General features: G+C 44.1%; 1 protein-coding gene across 2 annotated transcripts, besides 3 other annotated features; it reads right to left on the bottom strand.

Annotated features, from left to right (window-relative positions):
- Positions 1–33: 33 nt before the first annotated feature.
- NARS1 (asparaginyl-tRNA synthetase 1) lies at positions 34–21,214 on the bottom strand. 2 transcript variants are annotated; one of them, XM_005266700.3, is made up of 14 exons: positions 21,086–21,214; positions 19,947–20,026; positions 15,195–15,353; positions 15,019–15,108; positions 12,980–13,058; positions 11,015–11,085; positions 8,735–8,821; positions 6,822–7,043; positions 6,512–6,711; positions 5,994–6,129; positions 5,235–5,348; positions 2,190–2,321; positions 1,733–1,864; positions 34–1,161 (listed from the first exon to the last, which is right to left on the bottom strand). In XM_005266700.3, exons 1-14 carry the CDS (start codon positions 21,093–21,095, stop codon positions 1,030–1,032), a joined length of 1,644 nt encoding a protein of 547 aa, XP_005266757.1. In that variant the 5' UTR covers positions 21,096–21,214; the 3' UTR covers positions 34–1,029. The 2 variants fall into 2 exon arrangements, with proteins under 2 accessions (XP_005266757.1, NP_004530.1); NM_004539.4 differs by having other exon boundaries at positions 19,947–20,029.
- Positions 3,255–3,549: an enhancer, noted in NCBI's record as "tiled region #4588; K562 Activating DNase matched - State 5:Enh". NCBI's record gives its function as "activates a minimal TATA promoter and a strong SV40 promoter by Sharpr-MPRA in K562 cells {active_cell/tissue: K562}" and the evidence as "EXISTENCE:reporter gene assay evidence [ECO:0000049][PMID:27701403]".
- Positions 21,063–21,767: an enhancer, noted in NCBI's record as "H3K27ac hESC enhancer chr18:55288917-55289621 (GRCh37/hg19 assembly coordinates)". NCBI's record gives its function as "activates a minimal SCP1, AML or CMV promoter by ChIP-STARR-seq in naive H9 embryonic stem cells {active_cell/tissue: H9 hESC(naive)}" and the evidence as "EXISTENCE:reporter gene assay evidence [ECO:0000049][PMID:30033119]".
- Positions 21,148–21,487: an enhancer, noted in NCBI's record as "active region_13374". NCBI's record gives its function as "activates an Ori minimal core promoter by ATAC-STARR-seq in GM12878 lymphoblastoid cells {active_cell/tissue: GM12878}" and the evidence as "EXISTENCE:reporter gene assay evidence [ECO:0000049][PMID:35858748]".

Raw genomic sequence — 27,735 nt, forward strand, 5'->3', positions numbered from 1 at the left:
GATGTTTAGCTTTAAGAAAATTAAGCCAGCAAAGAGTTTTTACGGGTGTTCATTTATTGACTGCTGGGAATACAGCCTATTGAGAATACATGACATGCATTTGGTGGAGAAATCAACTAAATCTGAAATGAAGCCATTCAGTAAGCCTGCTGTGAGTTAATAAGGTAGCACAGATTAGATCTAAGGACATGGTGGGGGCAACTCAAACAGCCACTCACAATTGTTATTAAGATTCCAGCTACAATTTCTTTTGGAACTTATTTATTCTTAATTACTTAGGAATTACCAGGAAAGAGGGAAAATCAATCTGCCTCTTTACCTTAAATTAATGCTAAGAGGGATACTGTGAATCACTAAAAAACTCTCCCCAAAATTATGTTCTTACTTCAAATCCTTTAAGGCAATTCTATTTTTACAAATTCTTCAATTTCTATGCCTCAGGATTATTAGCAGCTAAGCAGAGTTAGAAAAGATTAATAACTGATACAAAAGGCTATTCATTTGATTCTAGTGTTTACTGCTGAATTATACTGTGTTCTAATATGAGCAGATTTTTATACGATATTGCCAATTTCTTCCCCCAAGATTTTTGTTTTAATTCATTGATGCAATAAAATAAATCAAAGAATTCAAGGTACACTTAAAAGGACAGAAAGATAAGTTACTGGAGTATCTTACACCATAATCTAAAATTGTTGAATTATACATACATATAACTTGAATAAAATGAATAACTTGGATAAAGTGAGTAAAATGCTGAAATGTATCCCTAACTACAGTTTCATGCCAGGTATTTTCCCCGAACTTTGTTTCCCGAACTTAAGAAAAAAATGGATATTTTTTCTTAAGATGACAACCTTAATATCACTTGATGTTCAGGTGATTTGAGATAGTTTTTATGGTAGTAGAAAGAAAAACAGAAAGAGAAACCCCAATGAAACAAAAAAAGGAAGATTCTGGCTTTTTGTTTTCTTTTTTAAAGAGCCTGTTCCTTTCATAATCTTTCCTCCACGCTTCTGGAGAAAATGGTTATGGCGTGCAACGCTGGACAAATCGAGGGTATAAGCACACGTCTCGGATGTGATACCTATTCAGAATCCACGTTAAGAATCGTTCCAAGCCCAAGCCATATCCTCCATGGGGACATGTACCGTATTTTCTCTGTTTAAAAAAAGAAAGAAAGAAAGAGGAGTAAATACTTAAGTTAAAACTTTCATCTAAGACAGTTAAAATTTTCCACCATGAAAGGAGTTAGCTCACTGTGGTTAAGAATTCAACTATGGCCAGATTCAGTGGCTCGTGCCTGTAATCCCAGCACTTAATCTCTATGCCTTCATGAACCATGCATAAAGAAATAATTTGGTATGAAAAAATCAACCAGGGAATAAGTACTACCCTGGAAAGAAGAGATTTTTAAAAACTTTTAAAATAAGTCAATGTCTATTTATAAGAGGAAAATGAAGAAGGGTACTAGATACTGGTAGGATCAATTTTTTAAAACTCAGTTGCAATCAACAAGCCGGCCGTTAAACAGGTTTTCAAATGAAATTAACATATAACTTGGCCAAAACAAAGCTGGCAATATTCACACACCACATTATAACCTGCAAACTGAATATAGCTCATTCAAATACCAAAGTACTACCCTGAATTCTCCCCTTTTAAAAATTTCAATATATACAGAACGATTACAGTGGAAAAAAATGTTGAGTACTTAAAAAATTGGTTTTACCTGATCCGTATACCAGTAATAGGGAGTGGGGTCAATCCCTTCCCTTTTATAACCTGCCAGTATTTCTTCACTATCAAAGATACGCATTGAGCCTCCCACAATCTCACCAACATTGGGCATCAACACGTCGACCTTTAAATATAAGTGAAAGAAGATACACAATTACTATCAAGCGATCAGACACAGCACTGCCCTAGAGTTTAAATGAAAATTACAATTAAGCTCCAAGGGCTAAAGGAGCCACTATGATCATGTAATATTCAAATGTTTACATTTCTCTAATTTAACAAAGCATGTCAACTTCAATCAGGGGAGGGTGAAAAAACCCAACGTCTTTAAATATTGTTATTCTAGATAGAGAATGAAATATTTGGCATGAGCTGTACCTGATTCCAGATGACAGTCCCCACCCCCTTAAAAAGCAAAATTATTAATACTCTTTGAAACAGAAACTGACAGATTCAGTAAGACGGGAATCCTCAGGACATCGCTGCATGTAGAAGGACTTGATCTCCACAGGAAATCGACACAGCAAGATTGGTTCATTAATGGTGTCTGTCATCAGTCTCTCAGGAGCTTCTGGGATATCCTGAGGTCAAACAAGACTTCATTAACATTTACAACTTGGATCGCAACAAGACAGAAGCAGCTCCTTCACCCTGTACCAGTCCTTCCTCCTATCAATTCAACAGAGTAGAGGATACACACCTACCCTTAACCCATACACATTTGTGTAAAGAATAATTTCTTTCAAAAAGAAATAAACATATTCTTAAAACTCAGTTATTTAATGAAGCATAAAAGATCTGTCTCCCTTTACAGCATATCTCAAGCACCATGCTGTTTGATGAAGGAAAATAAAAAAAAAAACAAAAACAAAAGCCAGCCCCAAGCTGTGACTAGACACAGCTCAGTATTTTTCTCAGTGGCCCGTTTTGTCTAGCTCTGAAGCAAATGAGGTCCACTTAGTCCCGTAAGGCATACGGTAATCATGAATGCTCCAGAACATCATTGATCTACACACAGAGTATATTACTAATGACACTTATCTTTAAACTCTCCTGTTATCTACCCTTCTTTCCTGTTGTAATCAATCAGTTATGCCTTCGATGACAGACACAATCATAAGACAAATAACCAATGTCAAACTGGTAAGTGTAAGCACACCTGGAATAGTTACCCAAACAATGTTAGATGATGACTTAAGCGCATCAGTTTCTCTCTCAAAACATCCTTCTATACCACACATAAATTAAAGTTAACACAGAAGTTAAAACTGACAACTCTCGTCCCAGTAAAAATGGATTGAGAGAACTGGAGAAGACTCATAGATTTGTTTAATGAAGAAGTGAAATGGAGGTAGCAATCACCTAGCACACCTGTTTTCAAGCTCCAGGCTCTGGAGCCCTTGCGTCCTCGGAGACGCCGAGAGGTAACAGGAGATGAGTGGGAGAGCTCTAGTCTCTCAGCTTGCATCTGCTTTACACAGCGGGGTTCTGCATAAGATTTAGTTAGGGGAAAACAGGTCTTATTTCATACCCCCCAAAGCCTGAGGGTCATGTATCCACTCTAGTGTCCTCATGTGTGTGGAACAGTAGCAATGTATAGTAAATGCTGACAGGCTCCCCCTGCCATTGTCCTGCCTAGGCATTTAGCTCCGGTAGTCCCCACAATCTTGCAAAACAGATGTTACTTCCAAGGTAGAGATAAGGAACCTGAGAGGGGGTCACTGGTCTTCAGTTACACAGCACAAAAGAAAAGAGGTGGGAGCTAAGCCCACCTGGGGGGCCTTCTGACTCCACAGCTTGTGTTCTTTCCACTCAACTACACTATTTTACTAAGTATTAGGAACACTAAAAGTATGCAAGTTCTCAATACAAAATTTTGTCATTATACATCATAAACTGAATTCATAGGCTGGGCACAGTGTGGCTCATGCCTATAATCTCAACACTCGGGAGGCCGAGGTGAGAGGACTGCTCGAGGCCAGGAGTTTGAGACCAGCCCAGTCAACACAGCAATACCTCCATCTCTTTAAAAAAAAAAAACCAAAAAACCAAACTGAATTCACAGAAACAAGAGTGCTTTACATAGACCCAGTATATTGTTTCACCTATTAATTCCTTCTAAAACCCAAAACTAGTTAGCAGCATCTACACACATTTCAACTGTAAAACAATTAGATGTGCAAATATTATGTAAGTAATGGTTAAATGCACAGGAAAGAGGGCCTAGCATAGTCTTGGAAACTTGAGCCAGATGCAGTGGCTCACGCCTGTAATCCCAATACTTTGGAAAGCTGGGGTGGGAGGACTGCTTGAGCCAAGGAGTTTGAGACCAGCCCGGGCAACATAGGGAGACGCCATCTCTACAAATAATAAAAAATTAGCTGGGCATGGTGGCTCACACCTGTAATCCCAGCACTTTTGGAGGCTGATGTAGGAGGAACACTTGAACTCTGGAGTTCAAGGTTGTAGCCAGCTATGATCGCACCAATGCATTCCAGCCTGGACGACAGATGGAGATGCTGTCCCAAATAAAGAAAATTTGCAACCCAAGTGCATGCTGGGAGAGTGGTTCTCAGGCAAAACCGAAATGCTAAGTTTACCTGGGGCACTAGGCTACCTTCTCCAAGACCTTCTCTCTTGGTTTTGCATTTTTAACCAATGGCTATCTTCTTTCTCGCCTTCCACATTAAGAAGTTTTAAATCACTGTTTTGGGGGAGGGGATGAACCTCTTTTTAAAAGCACAAGATACATTCTCCAGAAAAAAAAAAAAAATATATATATATATATATATCTATATACCAACATTTTGCATGTGATTTCAAAGGCTTCACAACCTTCTAAAGCACTCCTACCAGCCTAGAGAATGATAAAGAGAGCTTATAAGCTGTGGCCAAGGAAGAACAATGAAGGAAGAGGGAAGAGGCAAAGCATGAGACATGAAGGCAGCTTAGAAACTCACACTTGGCCAGAAGCGGTGGCTCACGCCTATAATCCCAGCACTTTGGGAGGCTGAGGTGGGCAGATCACGAGGTCAAGAGATCGAGACCATCCTGGCCAACATGGTGAAACCCTGTCTCTACTAAAAATAAAAAAATTAGCTGGGCATGGTGGTGTGCGCCTGTAGTCCCAGCTACTCGGGAGGCTGAGGCAGGAGAATCGCTTGAATCCAGGAGGCGGAGGTTGCAGTGAGCCGAGATCTGAGATCATGCCACTGCACTCCGTAGGCGACAGAGCGAGACTCCGTCTCAAAAAAAAAAAAAAAAAAGAAAAAAAAAGAAACTCACTTACGCTTACTGGGTGGTACAGAACAGGCACTGTCCTAAGGCTGACTCTGTTAACTCAGCGAATCTGCAGGCAACCCAAGAAGCAGGTCCTGCTGTTACCATTTATTTGAGGACAGGCAGATGCCACCCATGTTACTAGTTCATTAACCAGAAGAAGAGAATTGGAGCCCAATCCCACCTTGGAAACAATGAGAGAAAGGGATACATACTTCTCCAAATTCATAGAAAGTTCCATCTTCTTTCTTTACATCATGTTCTTTTAGCCAAACGATAGCATCTGAATAGTTCATCCGTTTGAAAGGCCGTTTGGGGGGCTGAAAGTTCTACAGAAGAAAGGAAAAATATAATGTGTATATATACATAAATATAAACATTAACACTAAAATTTCCATTAAAAAACTATTATAAAGTATTACTTCAGTGAGGTGTGGTGGCTCATGCCTGTAATCCCAGCATTTTGGGAGGCTGAGGTGGGCAGATCACTTGAGGTCAGGAGTTTGGGACCAGCCTGGCCAACACGGTAAAACCCCATCTCTACTAAAAATACAACAATTAGCTGGGGGTGGTGGTGGGCTCCTGTAGTCCCAGCTACTCAGGAGGCTGAGGCAGAATCGCTTGAAGCTGGGAGGCAGAGGTTGCAGTGAGCAGAGATCGCGCCACTGTACTTCAGCCTGGCGACAGAGTGAGACTCTGTCTCAAAAAAAAAATATATATATATATATATATATATATAACTTCAGACTAGAAAACTATGTAGACATTCCTAAAATGGAAAACATGAGCCTGTTATATAACTGAAAACATTATAAAATTATTGACAGTGACTAACATCAAATTCTAGTCTTCAAAATAATTAGTCACTTATTTCAGCTCACCAAGCCATCAAATCTACAAAAACTGAGGGTGAAGACTTCATTGTCTTCCAAAAAAGGACTGTGACTTTTTCTTTCCATAAACACTGCACCTACCGGGTTGAGCTCATGCACTATGCTCCCTGCAGGTGACTTCAATATTCGATCTACCACATCACAAACCAAGTCCTCCAACCGGTTCAGGAGGTCGTCAAAAGTCAGGAAAGGACACTCAGCTTCCACGTGAGTGTACCTGAAGAACGAGACAATAGCTCAGCACTGCTTTTCTCCTGCACTGGTTTTTTATCCAGCAAGGCTTTTAACATTGGGAAGCTGTCCATAAAATGCCAACAATGCTACCAATTCCCAACTTTGCAAATTAGCTGTGGACTCCCCTCTTCTCCACTGAGTAGCAATTTCTTGTTTGCTCCTTTATATATAAAAGATCAAGTCAAAGTGAAAAAAGAGAACTTAGCTACGATCTAAGGTGGCAAAACTTTGTTATATGTTCTTCCATTAACCACTTAATATATCAGTTGGTTTTTTTTAAAACATAAACATAATTTACCTACACTAAGATTTCTTCTCTAAAGATATTACCTAGAAAGAAATAAAACAAAAAGACAACTTCATACTCAGCCAGGTGCCTTCGTGTTCTGGACTGCTCTGCCCGGTATGACTGAGCAATACAAAAAACATCTCCCAGGGCTGGGAGGCAGGTCTCCAAGTACAACTGAGAGGATTGAGTCAAAAATGCCTCTTCCCCAAAATAGTCAAGCTTGAAGAGTGTGGCACCACCTTCTACTTGTGTTTGCACTAATGTTGGAGGAGTAACCTGTTCAAATGCAAAGAAGGAATAAATCAATGCTATCGTGAGCACCACTATTCAAGTTTCAAAACGGCAAAAAACATATTCTTTGCAAAAGCTGACGAATGCATACTTACTTCATAGTACCCCCTATCAAAGAAGTGATCTCTAAAGCACCTGGTGACCATGGATCGTGCTTTTAGGATTTTGGACATGTTTTCTCCTCGGATCATCATGTGTCTGTTGTTGAGCTGGACATCAACGTCAGACTCCTCATTGATCAGGTTGTCAGCTCCTCCAGCAGGGGCCAACCCAATTAGTTCCCAGAAGTCACAACTCAGCTCATGGCCACCTGGAGCCTGCATTTTTTAAAAGTGGGGTCCAGAGAAAGAGGGAAAAGGAAATAAAAAATTAACAGTATTGAGGATTTTAATTTATGTCAAAGTTTTGGTAAGCTGAGATTTTTAAGAACCTCCTAATTCTCAGCTTTAGTTTAGTTTTATATTGATATTTTTACCAATGTTCTTTCTGGATAAATACACACTCACATACACACAAATATCTTTTTTTTTTTTTTTTGAGACGGAGTCTCACTCTGTCGCCCAGGCTGGAGTGCAGTGACGCAATCTTGGCTCACAGCAACCTCCGCCTCCTGGGTTCAAGCGATTCTCCTACCTCAGCCTCCCGAGCAGCTGGGATTACAGGCGCCCACCACCACGTCTGGCTAATTTTTGTATATTTAGTAGAGACGGGGTTTCACCATGTTGGCAAAACTGGTCTCGATCTCCTGACCTCGTGATCCGCCCGCCTCGGCCTCCCAAAGTGCTGGGATTACAGGCATGAGCCACCATGCGCAGCCTGTGCGTTTCCATTTTTAAAAGATATTTGTGTCTGGGCACGGTGGCTCACTGAGGCGGGTGGATAACGAGGTCAGGAAATCAAGACCATCCTGGCCAACAAGGTGAAACCCCATCTCTACTAAAAATACAAAATATTAGCCAGGCATGGTGGCGCACGCCTATAGTCCCAGCTACTCAGGAGAATCGCTTGAACCTGGGAGGCAGAGGTTGTGGTGAGTGGAGATCGCACCACTGCATTCCAGCCTGCGCAACAAGAGCGAAACTCCGTCTCAAAAAAAAAAAAAAAAAAAAACAATAAAAACAGGCTCAAATTCTAATAAGAAATTCTCTGAACATATTTAGGTGGGTTGTTAAGTTTTTATTTCCATCTGGCTGAAAAGTAATTCATATATCTACAGCACAGTGGCTATATTATAGCCCATGAGGATGATTCAGGAATTCCGTAAGGCTGGAAATCATTGTATTCTTTTTATCACCTGAGTTGTACAATGTACATATTTCACTGGAAAAGGCATAGTGAATTTGACATGTACTTCACATTTATTGTATTTATATGCTGTGATGGTTAATATTAAGAGTCAACCTGATTGGAATGAAGGATACAAAGTATTTTCTGGGTGTATCTGGGTGTTGCCAGAGAAGATTAACATTTAAGTCAGTGGTCTGGGAGAGGCAGACCCACCCTCAATGTGGGTGGGCACCACCCAATCAGCTACCAGCCTGGCTAGAAAAAGCAAGAGGAAGAAGGTGGAAGAGCAGACTTGCTAGGTCTTCCAGCCTTCATCTTCCTCCGGTGCTGGATGCTTCCTGTCATTGAACATCAGACTCCAAGTTCCTCAGCTTTTGGACTCTTGGACTTACACCAGTTCTTTGACAGGGGCTCCTGGGCCTTTGGCCACAGACTGAAGGCTGCCCTGTCGGCTTCCCTACTTTTGAGGCTTTTGAACTTGGACTCAGCCACTACTGGCTTCCTTGCTCCACAGCTTGCAGATGGCCTATCGTGGGACTTCATCTTGTGATCTTGTGAGCCAATTCTCCTTAAAAACTCCCTTTCACATATACATCTATCCTACTAGTTCTGTCCCTCTGAAGAACCCTAATACATATGCCAAATGTACAAACAAAGACACTGGAAAACAAACCAATAAATAAACTATTCATTCACCCAGTGCGAAACTCAATCCACTCACCTGCTTGCCCTTTGGGGTAAGATTTAGCATTCCATACACTGCAACACTGCTCTCCGTGGACAAGAGAACTCCATTGTAGCACTGACACTATAAAAAGGTCAAAGCTCAAATTTAGTTATTCACATTGATTTAAAAATTCTACCATATAGAAAGTTAAAGGGATTGTTTACAAACAAGTTATCTGATCAAATACTAGTAAAATAAAGAGTGAGATGGCCACTGATTCTTAATATTAAAATAGATATTTTTGTGGAAGACAGAGGTTTATCTATATATAGACATATACATGTAAATATATACATATACATGTAAATACACATTTTACATACATGGATAAATGACACTGACCCACATCACTTAAAAATATCTGGACAGTTTATTTATTTATTTTTAAAAATCTAGACTATTAAAGTAACATACAGGTTAGGCACAGTGGTTCATGCCTGTAATCCCATGAAGGAGGCTAAGTTGAGAGGCTCACTGGAGCCCAGGAGTTCAAGACCAGCCTGGACAACAAAGGGAGAGATAAATAAAATAAAAATTGGCTGGGTGTGGTGGTTCTTGCCTATAGTCCTAACTACTCGGGAGGCTGAGGTGGGAGAATTGCTTGGGCCTGGGAAGTCGAGGCTGCAATGAGCTATGATGATGCCACTGTACTCTTTCTGAGAAACCCTGTGTCTCAAAACAACAAACAAACAAACAAAACCATACAGAGCCCATCTACACTATAATCACTTCTTACTAAAGTCATTAGGAAAAAACTGATGGGGAACTTTAAAAGGAAGAAGTCAGGCTGCCAACACCTGAACCCACTAGTCATAAAAAAGACAACTGGCCGGGCACGGCGGCTCACACCTGTAATCCCAGCACTTTCGGAGGCCGAGGCGGGTGGATCACCTGAGGTCAGGAGTTCAAGACCAGCCTGGCCAACATGGCAAAAACCTGTCTCTACTAAAAATACAAAAGTTAGCTGGGTATGGTGGCATGCACCTGTAGTCCCAGCTACTCGGGAGGCTGAAGCAAGAGAATCACTTGAATCTGGGAGGCAGAGGTTGCACTAAGCTGAGATCACGCCACTGCACTCCAGCATGGGTGACAGAGCGAGACTCTGTCTCAAATAAAAAAAAGAAAAAGACAACCACACCTTACATGCCTCTTGACGTGATGCAACTAAAAGAACACAGCTTTGCCCATGAAGTAGTTGTGCCAAAAAACTGAACCTAATCAGACCTAACCTCCAATTTATAAAAAATGCAGACACTAGAAGAACATGCTAAAGGACACCACAAGGATGCAAACAACCAAATCCATAATGTGAGAAGTTCCACAGGACAATCCACCAGGGTTTTCCCAAGAAATACATAGTAATGGGTGGGGAGAGGGGGCGGGTTGCAAAAGAAGAGAGAATGCAAAGAGAGCAGCAGAGTTATAAAGAAAATTTCAAAGTCATATCACTAAACGCAGCATGTTAGTCTTGTCAGAATCCTCGTTCAAATCAATCAACTATAAAAAGGCAGTACGAACTGATAACAAGAATCTGGATATTAGATGATATTTAGTAGTTGTATTAATTTGGTGGAGGGTGTGATAATAGTAGGTGACTATTATCTTTTTTTTTTTTTTTTTTTGAGACAAGGTTTCACTCTGTTGCCCAGGCTGGAAGGTGGTGGCATCATCTTGGCTCACTGCAACCTCTGCCTCCCTGGCTCAAGAGATCCTCCCACCTCAGCCTCCTGAGTAGCTGAGACTACAGATATGCACCACCACACCTGGCTAGTTTTTGTATTTTTTGTAGAGATAGGATTTCACCATGTTGCCAGGCTGGTCTCAAACTCCTGGGCTCAAGCAGTCTGCCCACTTCAGCCTCCCAAAGTGCCGAGATTACAGGCATGAGCCACCATGCCCAGCCACATTATTTTTCTTAGAGATGCATAAGCATGTGTAATTAAATAAAATGATATGATGTCTGAGGGGCAGTATCATACCAGGATTAGCCATATATAGGTGGTTACAGAAGCTGGGTGATGGGCATTTGATGATTTTTTATATGGTTCTATTTTGTAATGTGCTGGAAATTTTCCACAAAAGTTTTCTCCCTCTAGCCTTATTAAGGTATAATAAACAAATAAAAATTGCATGTTTATGGTATACAATGTGATGTTTTGATTCATTGACATTCACTGTCGACATAATAAATGTTTTAAATAAATGTATACAAAACAATAAAGGAATCTACTGAAAACATCTAATTTTCAGGCATAAATAAGAGAAAATATTTACCAACTCATCCGCCAAGACACACTGAAGATAACCTGTACCATCTCGCAACACCAGAAACATTAAATTCTTTCCTAAAAAATGAGAAATAATAATTTAGGCAGACTGTTCTCAAGGCATTAAATTTTATATATATATATAATTTTAAAGATAGGGTCTCACTTCGTCACCCAGGCTAGAGTGCAGTGGCACAATCACAGCTCGCTGCAGCCTCTACCTCCTGGGCTCAAGCAAACCTCTCACCTTACCCTCCCAGATAGCTGGGACTACAGGCACATGCCACCACACCTGGCTAATTATTTTGTAGTGACAAGGGTCTCACTGAGTTGCCCAGACTGGTCTCAAGCTCCTGGGCTCAAGCAATCCTCCTACCTCAGCCTCCCAAAGCGCTGATATTACAGGTGTGAGCCACTGCACCCAGCCATGACTTAATCTTATCTAAAGGAAACTCCAAGGTTAAACATTCAAGTTCAGACCTCCCACATGGCTCCCTGCCCCTGAAGTACCCACTGGTAATACCACTACTCAGTATTTGTAAAATATTTTATTTTCAATGTATTGGACTTTCAAATCCTACATGATCCCCAAGATCCACACAACCAGGGGAAAGCAGGACAGAAGGCAACATGAGTTAAGGGATTATGCCTTATCTACCCTTGAGTCCCCTGCAATGCCTGGGGTAGTACTGTGCACTCGGTGATACATAAATGTTCTTGAACAAAATCACTTTTTCTTATTTATGTCCTAAAGGTCCAATTACTGAAATCCGCTTAAAACATTTCATTTGTATTTTTGTCCCCTCCACCGTCGCTTTTTTTTCAGATGGAGTTTCACTTTTGTCGCCCAGGCTAGAGTGCAATGGCATGATCTCGGCTCACTGCAACCTCTGCCTCCCAGGTTCAAGTGCTTCTCCTGCCTCAGCCTCTAGAGTAGCTGGGATTACAGGTGCTCACAACCACACCCAGCTAATTTTTGTATTTTTATTAGAGAAGAGGTTTCACCATGTTGGCCAGGCTGGTCTTGAACTCCTGACCTCAGGCGATCCACCCGCCTTGGCCTCCCGAAGTACTGGGATTATAGGCGTGAGCCACCGCACCTGGCCTGTCCCACTTTTCAATGAAAGATTTGCTAATCCCTTACAATAAATAGTAAAAGTGACATGTTTATATATTATAAAATATATAATAAAAGGGGAAAGAGGAAACAAAATGTCAGAACCAAGGGAGAATGCAAATATACTGTTTATAAGAGTCAAAACTATGGCCAAGTTTCAGACTCAGATGTCAACCTCCTATAGTAACATCCCTTGATTTTCACTAAATAATTAAAACTCAACTTGACAAATATTTACTGGACGCATCTTCATCACTATAATTGCTAACCATTAAAAGAGCATTTAAAAATTTTTATACTTTCAATAGTCATTTTAAACAAGAACAAATTTAAGATATAAATCACTCTATCCTTTAAAGCCAGGTGAGGTGCTATGTGCCTGTAATCCCAGCTGCTCAGGAGGCTGAGGCAGGAGGATGGCTGGGGGGAGTTCAAGTCTAGCCAGCATACCAAAAAAAAAAAGAGGGCCGGGCGCAGCGGCTCATACCTGTAATCCCAGCACTTTGGGAGGCCAAGACAGTGGATCACCTGAGGCCAGGAGTTCCAGAGCAGACGGGCCAACATGGTGAAACACCGTCTCTACTAAAATTACAAAAATCAGCCAGGTGTGGTGGCAGGTACCTGTGATAACAGCTACTCAGGAGGCTGAGGCAGGAGAATTGCTTGAACCTGAGAGGCGGAGGTTGCAGTGAGCCGAGATAGCACCACTGCACTCCAGCCTGGGCAACAAAGTGAGACTGTGTCTAAGAAAAAAAGGGGGAGAGAAAAAAACCCCTGCAAATCTTTGTATGTTTTTCTTCATCTAAGAGCAGGGATATTTAAACATTAAAAAGAAGGAAAAGCTTTGCCATTTACCTTGCCTGCGCAGCCTGTGGACCCAGCCAAACACCTTTACTCTTTGGCCTCTATATCCTTCTAACGCACCAATCTTCACCTGTCAAATTGAAATAAACAACATTTGTTCAATAATGTCATTTATACACACCAACTTTTTCACTAATATTAGGCAGACGGTAGTAAGTGTTAAAAATCACAAATGGTGCAAAACTGGAGACAGCCCCTCTACTGCAGCTCAGAACCAAACGCATTTCACTGTATTGGCATGGTTTAAAACAAAACAAAAAAAAATCCAAGTCTTCTTTCTTAATGTAAAACTGATAATGAGAAACACCCAGAAGAATTTCAGATATTGCTAGATAAAATTAATTAATAAATGAATTCCTTTGTCATAAGTGGAGCACTTGCTTCCCACAACAGCAACAATCCCAGTCCACATGAAGCCTTTTCCATGACCCCACAGTTCTTCAATACCTTCCAGAACATGGTACTTAAAAGGCTAGCTTTTGTTTGGGGGATGAAGGAGAGAGGAGATGAGTAGAGGAAGGGGCTGTTGCATGTGGCCAAAAAACCCCAGCTCCATCACTAAGGAAATAATACAAAAATTCATCAGCAATAAGAACTACTGGAAATCTGGCTGGGCGTGGTGGCTCAAGCCTGTAATCCCAGCACTTTGGGAGGCTAAGGAGGGCAGATCACCTGAGGTCAGGAGTTTGAGACTAGTCTGGCCAACACGGTGAAACCCCATCTCTACTAAAAATACAAAAATTAGCCAGGCGTGGTGGCAGGCACCTGTAATCCCAGCTACTTGGGAGTCTGAGGCAGGAGGATCACTTGAACCCGGGAGGCGGAGGTTGCAATGAGCTGAGATCTCCCCACTGCACTCCAGCCTGGGTGACAAGAGTGAAACTCTGTCTCATAAATAAATAAATAATAAAATAAAATAAGAACTACTGGAAATCAAACCATTTTCATTCATAGTCCAGCAATCTATTTGGGTTCCAGAAAGAACAGAAGAAGAGTGAATCTAATTTCACAATTCACAAACTTTTACTCTATTTAAATAAAACATGAAAATCATAGATTTCAACCTCTTCATTTTATAAGCAAACTGACACTAGAGAGGGTTAAATCACTTGACCAACATCATGAAGCGTAGCCAGGCCTGGGTCCCCCATCTGCTGGCATTCAGTTGGGACAGAATTCATTCAACATGCATTTACTTAACTGTGTAATAAAATGAACCCCTAAAGAACTAGCCTCATAACTCTAAAACATTATTTCTCTATGTCCCTTCTGAAAGGAAAGTAGGCCAGGCATGGTGGCTCACGCCTGTATTCCCAGCACTTTGGGAGGCTGAGGTGGGAGGATCCCTTGAGCCCAGGAGTTTGAAACCAGCCCGGGCAATATGGGAGACTGTTTCTACAAAAATTAAAAATAAATAAAAGTTAGCCAGGTGTGGTGGTGCATGCCTGTGGTCCCCCCTACTTGGGAGGATCGTTAGAGCCCAGGAGGCAGAGGTTGCAGTGAGCAGAAACTGCACCACTGCACTCCAGCCTGAGCAACAGAGCAAGACCCTGTCTCAAAATAAATAAATTAAAATTTAAAATTAAGAAATAAAAAATAAAAGGAAAGTAGGCCGGGCGCAGTGGCTCACGCCTGTAATCCCAGCACTTTGGGAGGTCGAGGTGGGCAGATCACGAGATCGGGAGATCAAGACCATCCTGGCTAACACGGTGAAACCCCGTCTCTACCAAAAATACAAAACATTAGCCGGGCGTGGTGGCGGGCGCCTGTAGTCCCAGCTACTCGGGAGGCTGAGGCAGGAGAATGGCGTGAACCCGGGAGGCGGAGCTTGCAGTGAGCTGAGATTGAACCACTGCACTCCAGCCTGGGCGACAGAGCAAGACTCCGTCTCAAAAATAAATAAATAAATAAATAAATGGAAAGTAAAAACAAAATGTAAAGGAACAAACCATGTGACATGCCCCTCATACACAGAAATAATGATCTGATGTAGCCAAGTCCACGGTATTTGAAAAGATAAACAAACTTACACATTTTGGCTCTGGGAGACTTGGATCATTTTTAATGGTAATCTTCTTTGCTTCTTCCAGGTTCTTTTCTCTTCGTAAACTATCTTCTGCCTAATTTTAATGATGAAGCAGTTTGTTAACATGGTTGCCAGAGTTCTAACTTTAACAACGTTCACGATGGCAAGGTCAGGACTCACCTCTTTCTTTTCCCGGGATTCACTCTTCATTTGTTCCCTATGCCACATCTTTTTAATGTTCTTCAACTGTGATTTAGAAATAACATTCCACCTCTCATTTTCTTTTTGTGAATCTACGTAAATGGTAGGAAATGGTTCTTTCCCTACTGTCATCAAAGCCTTGGGTAGGGAGGAGAGAAAAGACAGTTCTTGAACATTGTACAATACTTAAAATCAAAATAACATCTCAAGTATAAGGCAACTGGAACAATCTAAGCATAAAGACCCCAACAGCCAAAAGCTGATATTGGCACAGTGACTGGTTGAACATTTAAGAAGCACACTGGTTGGCTGGGCGCGGTGGCTCACGCCTGTAATCCCAGCACTTTGGAAGGCCGAGGTGGGTGAGGTCAGGAGATCGAGACCATCCTGGCTAACATGGTGAAACCCCGTCTCTACTAAAAATACAAAAAAATTAGCCAGGTGTGGTGGCAGGCACCTGTAGTCCCAGCTACTCGGGAGGCTGAGGCAGGAGAATGGCGTGAACCTGGGAGGCGGAGCTTGCAGTGAGCCAAGATCGTGCCACTGCACTCCAGCCTGGGCAACAGAGCGAGACTCTGTCTCAAGAGAAAAAAAAAAAAAAAAAGAAGCACACTGGTTAAAGCTGAAGCTCTGAGGTCCTCTCACAAACAATTACAGCAAGTTCGGGTATACACGATACAGTTCCCCAGGAAAAGCAGACTATAAGCAACAGATCTTAAGTGGCTGTAGCAACCAGCACAGGTACAAGGACAACAGAAGAGACACCTGACAGCAAAACTCAACTGCAAGTGACATCTAAAAGGTTAGTTCTCTGTGAGAAATCAGAGAAGTGTCAGACATTTTTGAAACTTTCAACAAAACAATGGTTAAGAACACAAAAAGCGGCCGGGTGCAGTGGCTCAGGCCTGTAATCCCAGCATTCTGGGGGGCCGAGGAGGGAGGATCACCAGGTCAGGAGATCGAGACCATCCTGGCTAACACAGTGAAACCCTGTCTCTACTAAAAATACAAAAAATTAGCCGGGTGTGGTGGCGGGCGCCTGTAGAGCTTGCAGTGAGCTGAGATGGCACCACTGCACTCCAGCCTGGGCGACAGAGAGAGACTCTGTCTCAAAAAAAAAAAAAAAAAAAAAAAAAAAAGAGCACAAAAAGCTAAACTCATTTAATCTGAAAAACTCCCCCATGTAGAATACCTCTTTTCCCCAATGGGACATATCAAGCATTGCTGTGTTATATATCATTTGATAAAATGTATTGTTTGTAGTTTTTAAAAAATAGTTCAAAGTACATAAAAGATGAATATTTTAAAGCCTCAAATAATCTTTCAAAATCTCTTCCAAGTTATTGAATCAAACAAGAAATGCAGTGAATTATTCTCTGTTGCAAGATCTGCAGCCTGCAAAAACGGACTTTTTCTCAGTTCTACGACTGCTGCAGAGAAGGAGGGAATCTGAGGCCGGGCATGGTGGCTCACACCTGTAATCCCAGCACTTTGTGAGGCCGAGGTGGGCGGATCACGAGGTCAGGAGATCGAGACCATCCTGGCTAACATGGTGAAACCCCGTCTCCGCTAAAAATACAAAAAATTAGCCGGGTGTGGTGGCGGGCACCTGTAGTCCCAGCTACTCAGGAGGCTGAGGCAGGAGAATGGCGTGAACCTGGGAGGCGGAGCTTGCAGTGAGCCGAGATCGCACCACTGCACTCCAGCCTGGGTGACAAGAGCAAGACTCCGTCTCAAAAAAAAAAAAAAAAAAAAAATAGAGAAGGAAGGAATCTGGATCTTTTGAAAACATTCAAGGGCTGGGCGTGGTGGCTCACGCCTATAATCCTAGCACTTTGGGAGGCCGAGGTGGGCGGATCATGAGGTCAGGAGTTCGAGACCAGCCTGGCCAATATGATGAAACCCTGTCTCTACTAAAAATACAAAAATTGGCCAGGTGTGGTGGCACACGCCTGTGGTCCCAGCTACTCGGGAGGCTGAGGCAGAAGAATCTCTTGAATCCGGGAGGCAGAGGTTGCAGTGAGCTGAGATTGCACCACTGCACTCCAGCCTGGGTGACAGTGTGAGACTCCTTTTCAAAAAAAAAAAAAAGAAAAAAAAGAAAACATTCAATAGTTCATCCTTTTAACAACTAGACATTGTAAGAATACATGTAGGGGCCAGGCGCAGTGGCACACGCCTGTAATCCCAGCACTTTAGGAGGCCGAGGTGAGTGGATCACCTGAGCTCAAGAGTTCGAGACCAGCCTGGCCAACACGGTGAAACACCATCTCTACTAGAAATAAAAAAAAAAAAAAGAAATTAGCCAGGCATGGTGGCGAGTGCCTATAATCCCAGCTACTCAGGACGCTGAGGCAGGGAGAATTGCTTGAACCCAGAAGGCAGAGGTTGCAGTGAGCCGAGATCATGCCACTGCACTCCAGCCTGGGCAACAAGAACAAAACTCTGTCTCAAAAAAAAAAAAAAAAAGATAGCCATTGATGAAAATGCAAAACCAAGAGAGAAGGTCCCATGAATACATGTAGGTCGTTCGGAATTCACTTATTACCCGACAATCTGTACTGATCCCTCCTTTTGTATCATTGAAATTGAAAGAGCCAAACTATCAGTTCCCAAATCAGAATGCTACACTTTTGTTAACAGTGACATTCTGTTGTTAACAGTGACATTCTGCAAACGTTCATCTAAACGGTGTTGTCAGTTTTCAGGAGCTGCAAAACGAGGCACCCGATAATCCAGAAATGAAAGATTTCCCCTTAAGAGTGGTTAAAAAGTAAAACCCAGCCAGGAGTGGCGGCTCACACCTGTAGCCCCAGCACTTTGGGAGGCCAAGGCAGCAGGATTGCTTAAGCCCAGGAGTTTAAGACCAGCCTGGGAAACATAATGAGATCTCGTATCTACAAATAAGAAACAAATTAACCGCGTGTGGTGACATGCCCCTGTGGTCCGAGCTACTTGGAAGGCTGAGGTGGGAGGATCCCTTAAGCCCAGGAGGTTGAAGCTGCAGTGAGCCATGAATGCGCTACTGCACTCCAGCCTGGGCAACAAATTAAGATCCTGTCTCAGAAAAATAAATAAATAAGTTAAATTAAAAACAAGTACCCATGTATGACACACCAAAGTTTATAACCATATGGTATGACCTAAAAGAGAGGAGAATGCTCCCAGATTAGGACTTGATAGTAACTATAAATGTTGTAACACAGTTAACAAAAAAAGGGGATGCACAGAAAAAGGAGTGTCAAGGCACTGCTTTTCCTAATACAGTTCAAAGAAGGAACTTTTTTGTTGTTGTCGTCCAGGCTGCAGAGCAGTGATGCAATCACGGCTCACTGCAGCCTCAACCTCCTGGGCTCAAGTAATCCCCCTATCTCAGTCTCCCGAGTAGCTGGGGCCACAGGTGCATACCATACCACCATGCCTGGCTAATTTTTTTTTTTTTTTTTTTTTGGTAGTTGGCTGAGTGTGATGGCTCACTCCTATAAACCCAGCACTTTGGGAGGGTTAATATCCTGTCTCTATTTATTTTTTAAATTAAATTTATTAAAAAATTTTTAAGAAGTTAAATTTTTTGTAGAGATGAGGGTCTTATCATGTTGCCCAGGCTGTTCTCAAACTCCTGGGCTCAAGCAGTCCTCCAGCCTCAGCCTCCCAAAGTGCTGGGATTACAAACGTGAGGCACCAAAGCCCAGACCCAAGGAAGGAACTTTTAACCATCTTCCTTATGTGGCAGTTATAGCCAATGGATTCTAGCATATGAGTTCAACAGCTAAGTCCATGGTCTATTTTAAGAAGGTTGTCTTAGGCCACACTTTACTCTGATATAATCAACTACCTAACACCCATGTTGTGAGTCCAAGCCCTTTTTTTGTTTTTTCTTCTGAGACAGGGTCTCAGGCTAGAGTGCAGTGGCGCAATGGTGGCTCACTGCAACCTCCACCTTCCAGGCTAAAGAAATCCTCACCTCAGTCTCCGGAGTAGCTGGGACCACAGGCACGCACCACCATGCTGGGCTAATTTTTATGTTTTTTGTAGAGCCAGGATTTCACCAAGTTGCCCAAGCTGGTCTCAAACTCCTGCGCTGAAGCAATCCACCTGCCCCGGCCTCCCAAAGTGTTGAGATTATAGGCGTGAGCCACCACACCAGGCCTGAGTCCAAGCTCTTGACAAACCCCTTTGAGAATGAGCTAAACTCATTCAAGGATTCTAGATCCTGAGAAATAACAGCACTGTTAATTCATTAACAGAATGTTAATAAATTGGCATTCTAGCTTGAAGCTCCAGACTCATGAGTCAGCTCTGACAAATGAATCCATTCTTGGTGGTCTTGGAGTCAAATCTCAGGATCACACTCTGGATTGTGGTAAATTCACCAAAAGCCCTCTCAGGAGCCCCCTGGTCATGAGCTCACTGTAACTGAGGAAAGGTAACTTTTATCTTTACAAGAATTGAAAACCCAGCAATCTGACTCAATGGAGAGAAAAATTCCAAGAAGCAATGCCATGTGGTAAGAAAGAAGAGACCTTTTTTCAAAATGTTAAAAAGTAAGTTTAGACTTTGATCATCTAACAATCTTAAAGTCACATATCTGTATGCATTCCTTACTTTCCCTTTTCTGAAAATTCTCTTTGGAACCTAGTGTTTGAAATTAAGTTCTTGGCAAGTCACAAGAAAATTGACATAACTCATTAATAAATGCAGTCTCATTTTCCTAATGAGAAGAGACTCTACCTTTAGACCTGTTTTAAATGGTTTCTCCTTGGTTCCATCTCCCGTGGCATCGCTTCCCTCTCGGTCAGAGACGTACAGCTCTGCTGTTTGACAAAATGAGGGTAAGTTATGGTCTGGCCATTAACTATTAGTCACCTTACTACTTTATTCATTCCTTATCTTTGTAAACAGAACAAGCATCGATTAATAAAAATTGAGGTCCATAAGTAATTAATATCCTAGTTATTTCCCCACTCCATTTCAATAACATCCATCTCATAAAAACATTAGTTAATAATCCAGGTTTTCAAAATGAACTCTGATCATTTTAATTTGTGATATTTATTCTATCTAATTGGGCACCCAAAAATAAAATATGGGCTTTGAAGTTGATCAGACATACGCTGGAATGTTGGATTTTGTACCTTAAAAGGCAGGGTGACTCTGGAGAATTTACTTAACCTTTCTGAGCTTATTTCTTTACCTATAAAATAGGAAAAACAATCCCCATCTTGAAAGGCTGTGCTGAGGATGAAATAAAATAACACATACAAATCAGATATCCCAGTGCCAGTTTTTGTAGAGATGGCAAATAAACACCAGCTCCCTCTGGACTTTAAAGGAAACAGAAGCTCTGAGGTTAGAAAATTTCAGAAGGCCTCACAACTAGTAGGTCTGAACAGTTAACATCCATCCAGGTCTCTCTCTTTTTTTTTTTTTTTTTCCTACTGCACAGTATGGTCTCCCCGGAAACCTCAATAAAAAAATGAGGGTGGGAGAAAAACAACTAGAATCCTAAAGCCCCTTCCTGACGATCACTTTGAAGAACTGCAGGAGTAGGGGCTACCCTGTGTCTGAACCCGTCCCAGCGCCTGAGTCTCAGCGCAATCGGGAGGTTTCGCAGCGGGGCAGGGGAAGGGCCCGGAGCCACCGCCATCGCAGCCCGGGGGAACGACGGACTCGGGGAAGCCCGGCCTGGCCCTTCAAGTCCCGGGCCCAGCAAAGGCCAGCACCCTCCCTCCCTCCCTCCCTGCAATCGGTCCCCAAACATTCGCGGGGCGCCCACTCTGGTAGGCACTAAGGAAAGCGCCGAAACCCGACTGGAGCAGAGTTCCTGCCCCAGGCAGGGAACACCGCGCCATACACTGAGTCTCACCCACCTAGCACCATGCCTGCAGTGGCCCTGGTCACCTCCAAGGACACAGACTGCAACACCGACGCCGTCTTATGACTCCAACGTGCACCGGCGGTTTCCGCGATTCCGGCGTTGCATCAGAGAGCGTAGATCTGAGGGCGCCTGCGAGAATCGGCCGAGCGCCGCGGTTCCATTGGTTACGAGAGGTGGGCGAGCGGCGCCGGGGCCGCCATCTTTGGTGAGGGCAGAGGCAACTTCCGGATCCAGAGACGCCCCGCCCCACGCGTTTGTGCAGCTCGGAAGGCGCTGCCTGTCCCGGAGCTCCGCGGCCCTGGAGACCCTGGCACAGTGTCACTTTTGCACCCTTCCTTCCCCGCCTCCCCAACTTTCCTTTCTGAATCTTCCAATTCCGCCCCAGCTGGAGGCGTGCGGGTCCTCTTGCAAACCAGACCAAGGATGTCGCCCCGATCCCCAGATGGTGGAGGCTGGTTGAGTTCATGTCACCAGCAAACACCGCGCCAGCTGCGAGACGGGGTGCGCGGCGGTGGAGGGGACGCAGCGGGTTGCGTAAACTTCCTTTTTTTTTTTTTTTTTTTTGAGACGGAGTCTCGCTCTGTCACCCAGGCTGGAGTGCAGTGGCGCGATCTCGGCTCACCGCACCCTCCACCTCCCGGGTTCAAGCGATTCTTCTGCCTCAGCCTCCCGAGTAGCTGGGATTACAGGCCTGTGCCACCATGCCCAGCTAATTTTTGTATTTTTAGTAAAGACGGGGTTTCACCATCTTAGTCAAGCTGGTCTCGAACTCCTGACCTTGTGATCCGCCCACCTCGGCCTCCCAAAGTGCTGGGATTACAGGCGTGAGCCATCGCGCCCGGCCAGATGCGTTAACTTTCTAAACTCCGTGAGCCAGCGTCCCTCGGTGTTCAGGAGAGGAGCTATGGTATATGTTCATTTAAAATTGTAAGGATTACCGTTAGGAAGGCCATAATAATGTGGTGGAAAGAACGAGGGCTTCGGAATACAAACCTGGGTTCTGCCTTTTACTAACCGTGTGTCTTCAGATAAATTACCTAAACTGAATGAGCTTCATTCAGCGAGTTGGGACCGATTGCAGGGAGGGAGGGAGGGTCCTGGCCCTTGCTGGGCCCGGGACTTGAAGGGCCAGGCCGGGCTTCCCCGAGTCCGTTGTTCCCCGGGCTGCGATGGCGGTGGCTCCGGCCCCTGCCCCTGCCCCGCTGCGAAACATCCCGATTGCGCCGAGAGTCAGGCGCTGAGAGGGGTTTATCTGTGTCTTCAGATAAATTACCTAATCTGAATGAGCTTCAGTTTTTCTATTTGTGAAAGATGATATAAATTCACTGCCCGGGCATGTAAGAGGTGCTAATAAAGGGTCTGTCATCATTTTCAACTTTTTTTTACTTTTTTGGTGGGCTTTTTTTTTTTTTGGAGACTGGGTCTTCTCTGTTGCTCAGGCTGGAGTGCAGTGGTGCTATCATAGCTCACGGCAGCCTCGAACTCCTGGGCTCAAGTGAGCCTCCCACTTAAGCCTCCCAAGTAGCTGGGACTATAGGTGCACGCCACCACGCCTGGCTTATTTTATTTTTATTTTTGTGGAGATGGGGGAGGGGTCTCCCTGTGTCGCCCAGGCTGGTCTCCAACTTCTGGGATCAAGTGATCCTCCTGCCTCAGCCTCCCAAAGTGCTGGTCTTACAGGCGTGAGCTACCACGCCCAGCCCATTCTCAATTTAGTGGAATACCAGAGTTTGTCCCTGAAGCAAAAGAAAACCTTTTTTTTATGAGAGGTCCTCAAAAAAATAACTCTATATATAGGTTCAGGGCCCATCAAGAATATGAACCAAGTCCGGGCACAGTGGCTCATGATTGTTATCAATCCCAGCACCTTGGGAGGTTGAGGCGGGTGGATCACTTGAGGTCAGGAGTTGGAGACCAGTCTGGCCAACATGGTGAAACCCCGTGTCTACTCAAAATACAAAAATTAGCCGGGCGTGGTGGCACGCGCCAGTAATCCCGGTTACTCAGGAGGCTGAGGCAAGAAAATCACTTGAACCCAGGAGGCGGAGGTTGCAGTGAGCTGAGATCGTGCCACTGCACTCCAGTCTGGGTAACAGAGTGAGACTCCATCTCAAAAAAAAAAAAAAAAAAAAGTACCAAATACTATTCCTAAGGAATATTTCACCCAATTTTATGAACTTTCCCTTTTCCTCTTGGCTGAATGTTTTCTGTTGGCTCATGGATTAGTATCAATTGCTACAAAGCAAATTTTCCCAAACCTTAGCAGCTTAAAACCCCGAACATTTATTACCTTAGCAGTTTCTTTTGAGACAGTCTCAGTTCTGTCGCCCAGGCTGGAGTGCAGTGGCGCGATCTCAGCTCACTGCAACCTCCGCCTACCAGATTCAAGAGATTCTCCTGCCTCAGCCTCCCGAGGAGCTGGGATTACAGACGTGTGCCACTACGCCCAGCTAATTTTTGTATTTTGAGTAGACATGAGGTTTCACCATGTTGTCCAGGCTGGTCTTGAACTCCTGACCTCAAGTGATCTGCTTGCCTCGGCCTCCCAAAATGCTGGGATTACAGGCCTGAGCCACCATGCCAGGCCCTACCTTGCACAGTTTCTGATGGTCAGGAATAAGGTAGTGGGTTAGCTGGAGGTTCTGGCTCAGGTCTCTCATGAATCATGCTGAGGGCAGGGTCTGTAGTCATCCGAAGGCTTGGGTGGGTGGGGATCTGCCTCCAGGCTCACTCACAAGCTGTGGTCAGAAAACCTTTCCTTGCCAGGTGGGCTCCCGATAGAGCTGCTAATGACAGCCGCTGACTTCACCTAAAGCAAGTGATCAGAGAGAGAGAATATTAGTTACCTTTTATTTTATAATAAATTACCCCAAAACATCAAATGGCATTTGTTATCTCACATTTCTGTGGAATAGGTATCTGGGCACGGTTTAGCTGAGGACTCAGAGCTGAGTCCTTCCAGAGGCTGCAGTCAGCTTAAGTTGAGATTCTTAAGTCTCACCTGGAGTGGATCCCCTTCCACACACACTCAGGTGGGTGTTGGCCAGAGGTCTCCCTCAATTCTTTCCACACGGGCCTCTTGCTTGGCTAAAGCCAGCAACCAAGATGGAAGTTAGAACCTTTAGTTGCCTAATCTCACAAGGGATATATCCCAATACTTTTGCCATATTCGATTAATTAGGATCAAGTCACTTGGTCCAGCATACACTCAAAGGAAGGGTATTACACACTGGCATGGATGCCAGCAGCTGGGAATCATGGGCCATCTTAGAAAGCTCCCCACTGCAGTGACCAAAACTGAGGCTGCAGTGCCTTTTCTAACCTGACTTGTTAGGTGAAATGTCATTGTCTCTGCCATATTCTACTGGTCACACAGACCAGCCCTGGAGGTGAATGCCAGGAGGTGTTGCTCACTGGGTACCATCTTAGAGGCTGCCCACCATAGCCTGTCCAGATGAATTTCTCCACTTCATCCTGCTCCGCCCCAGAGGCTGACTCATGTGAACCACATCAATGGGCTCCCTCGTTCTCTGACTCCTGGTCAGCTGCAGCCAATGGGGAACACTTGTGGAAGAACAGAGGTGGGATGTGAGGTTGGGGTCCTTATTCCCGTAGCTCCTCATTGTAGGCTGGCTGCATCCTCACTTGAGGGCCACCGCTCCTGCCAGGTGGCACTGAGAGATTCATCTGAACTGCCCTTGGTGAATTTAGTTTCATCTGATCGTTAAAACTGAATTTACTGGCCAGGCACGGTGGCTCACCTTTGTAATCCCAGCACTTTGGGAGGCTGAGGCGGGCAGATCACTTGAGGCCAGGAGTTCGAGACCAGCCTAGGCAACATGGCAAAACCCCGTCTCTATTAAAAATACAAAAATTATCTGGGTGTGGTGGCATGCTCCTGTAATCTAGCTACTCAGGAAGCTGAGGCAGGAGAGTTGCTTGAACCTGGGAGGTGGAAGTTCCAGTGAGCCAAGATCAGGCCACTGCATTCCAGCCTTGGTGACAGAGTGAGATTCTGTCTCAAAGAAAAAAAAAAAAAAAGTGAATTTACAAAGCAACATTCTGTTGTGAAATAAAAAGTGTACATAGGACTGTGCAAGCAGGTTGTACAAGAGGGTCATTTAAATTCCTACCCCCGCCTCAGTCTACACCTATAGACTCATAGGATTTCTCTATGTCAAGTTAGTGCAGGATGGAAAAAATGGGCCTAGTGTTGACATCTGCATAATATGCTGGCACATGCCAGATATGAACAGCCATTCTACTCTAGCCTTACTTAGGAGAAACCCTAAAAAGACAGTGGGGAGGGTGGGCAAGGTGGCTCACACCTGTGATCCCAGCACTTTGGGAGGCCGAGGCGGGCTGATCACCTGAGGTCAGGAGTTTGAGACCAGCCTGGCCAACATGGCGAAACCCCATCTTTACTAAAAGTACAAAAATTAGCTGGGCATGGTGGCAGGCGCCTGTAATCCCAGCTACTCAGGGGGCTGAAGCAGGAGAATCGCTTGAACCCGGGAGGCGGAGGTTGTAGTGAGCCTAGATCACGCCAGTGCATTCCAGCCTGGGCGACAAGAAGGAGACTCCGTCACAAAAAAAAAAAAAGAAAGAAAGAAAAGAAAAAGAAAAAAAGAAAAAAAAGAAAAAAAAAGAAGTGGTGAAGGGAAGTCATCTCAGATGGTGGAACTCTGAGCACTGTGCCTGGTTTTCCACTTCTCAGCTAAGTAGGGATGGCCTGAAGGACCAGGCTGGCAATAGTGGCTCACGCCTGTAATCCCAGCACTTTGGGAGGCCTAGGCAAGTGGATCACCTGAGGTTGGAAGTTCAAGACCAGCCTGACCAACGAGGAGAAACTCCGTCTCTACTAATAATACAAAAATTAGCTGGGTGTGGTGGGGCATACCTGTAATCCCAGCTACTCAGGAGGCTGAGGCACAAGAATCGCTTGAACCTGGGAGGCAGAGGTTGCAGTGAGCCAAGATTGCACCATTGCACTCCGGCCTACACAACAAGAGCAAAACTCCATCTCAAAAAAAAAAACAAAAAACAAACAAAAAAAGGACTGATGGACACTGGCTCACGGGTTGGCCAGTTGATCAGGGACTAAGAAAGAACAAGATTAAAGATTAGGTACAGGAGGTCTGCTGGGGATGTGGATGGACCTTTTTGAATGGGCACTGAATGTGAAGACTTCTTGTCCTCTGCAAACATCTATCAGAAGGCATTTGGTATGGAGGAGGTCTCTGTCATCTCTGGATGTTGGACTTTTCCTCCCAAAACATCTCAGTTCTTGCTCAAAGAGCCCATATGTGAAGTGGCTATAGTAACAGGATAGAGGCTATGCATGTGTTCAACCTCATAAACTGCCCTTCATCCTGGCTGATCTTGCTGGCCACTGTCACTGTTAAGTACCCAACCTGCCAACAGCAGAAGCCAACTTTGAGAAACTGACAGGACACGATTCTTTTTTTTCCTTTTTTCTCTATTCTTCTCTTTTTTTTTTTTTTTTTTTTTTGAGACGGAGTCTTGCTCTGTTGCCCAGGGTGGAGTGCAGTGGCGTGATCTTGGCTCACTGCAACCTCTGCCTCCTGTGTTCAAGCAATTCTCCTGCCTCAGCCTCCTGAGTAGCTGGGACTATAGGCGCCCACCACCACACCCAGCTAATATTTGTACTTTTAGTAGAGACAGGATTTCACCATATTGGCCAGGCTGGTCTCTAATTCCTGACCTTGTGATCCCCCCACCTCGGCCTCCCAAAGTGCTGGGATTATAGACGTGAGCCACCGCACCTGGCCAGGACACGATTCTTTAGGGAGACCAGCTGGCCACTTGACGGCAAGTAAATTAGATCAGACTCCTGGAGGAGGCAGTAATATGCCTCCCAGGTATAGACTCAGTCCACACAGGGATGCGCCTTCTCTGCCTGCAGCACCCACATCTATGGACTTACAGAACGCTGCATGTGTCTTTATGGTATTCAGCATCTCTCACCCCAGGACACATTTTCAGTAAAGGAAGTGTGACAGTGAGCTCATACCTATGGAATTCAGTGGTCTAACCATGTTCTTTGTGTTAGATTATTATTTAAAATAATCAGACATGCTTCTGTGAACCCAGAAAATCAGAGACAGGTCTCAGTTAATTTAGAAAGTTTATTTTGCCAAGATTGAGGATGCATCCATGACACCGCCTCAGGAAGTCCTGACGACATGTGCCCAAGGTAGTCGGGCACAGCTTGCTTGTATACATTTTAGGGAGACACGAGACATCAATCAGTAGAAGAATTACATTGGTTAGGTCTGGGAAGGCAGGACAATTTGAAGCAAAGGCAGGAAGACTTGAAGCAGGGAGGGGGTTTCCAGGTCACAGATAAGTGAGACACAAATGGTTGCATTCTTTTGAGTTTCTGATTAGGCTTTCCAAAGGAGGCAAATAAGATGTGCATCTCTCTCAGTGAGCAGAGGGATAACTTTGAATAGAATGAGAGGCAGGTTTGTCTTAAGCAGTTTCCAGCTTGAGTTTTCCTTCGTAAAAAGGAAAATATTTTGGGGGTCCAAGATATTTTCCTTTCACACTCCCTTCTCCCATACAGAAGGAATATACTTCCCTGCTTCATTTCTGCTGGGCTTAGCCATGTGCATTTAC

Source organism: Homo sapiens, chromosome 18 (genome assembly GCF_000001405.40).
Source record: "Homo sapiens chromosome 18, GRCh38.p14 Primary Assembly".
Classification (NCBI taxonomy): Eukaryota; Metazoa; Chordata; class Mammalia; order Primates; family Hominidae; genus Homo; species Homo sapiens.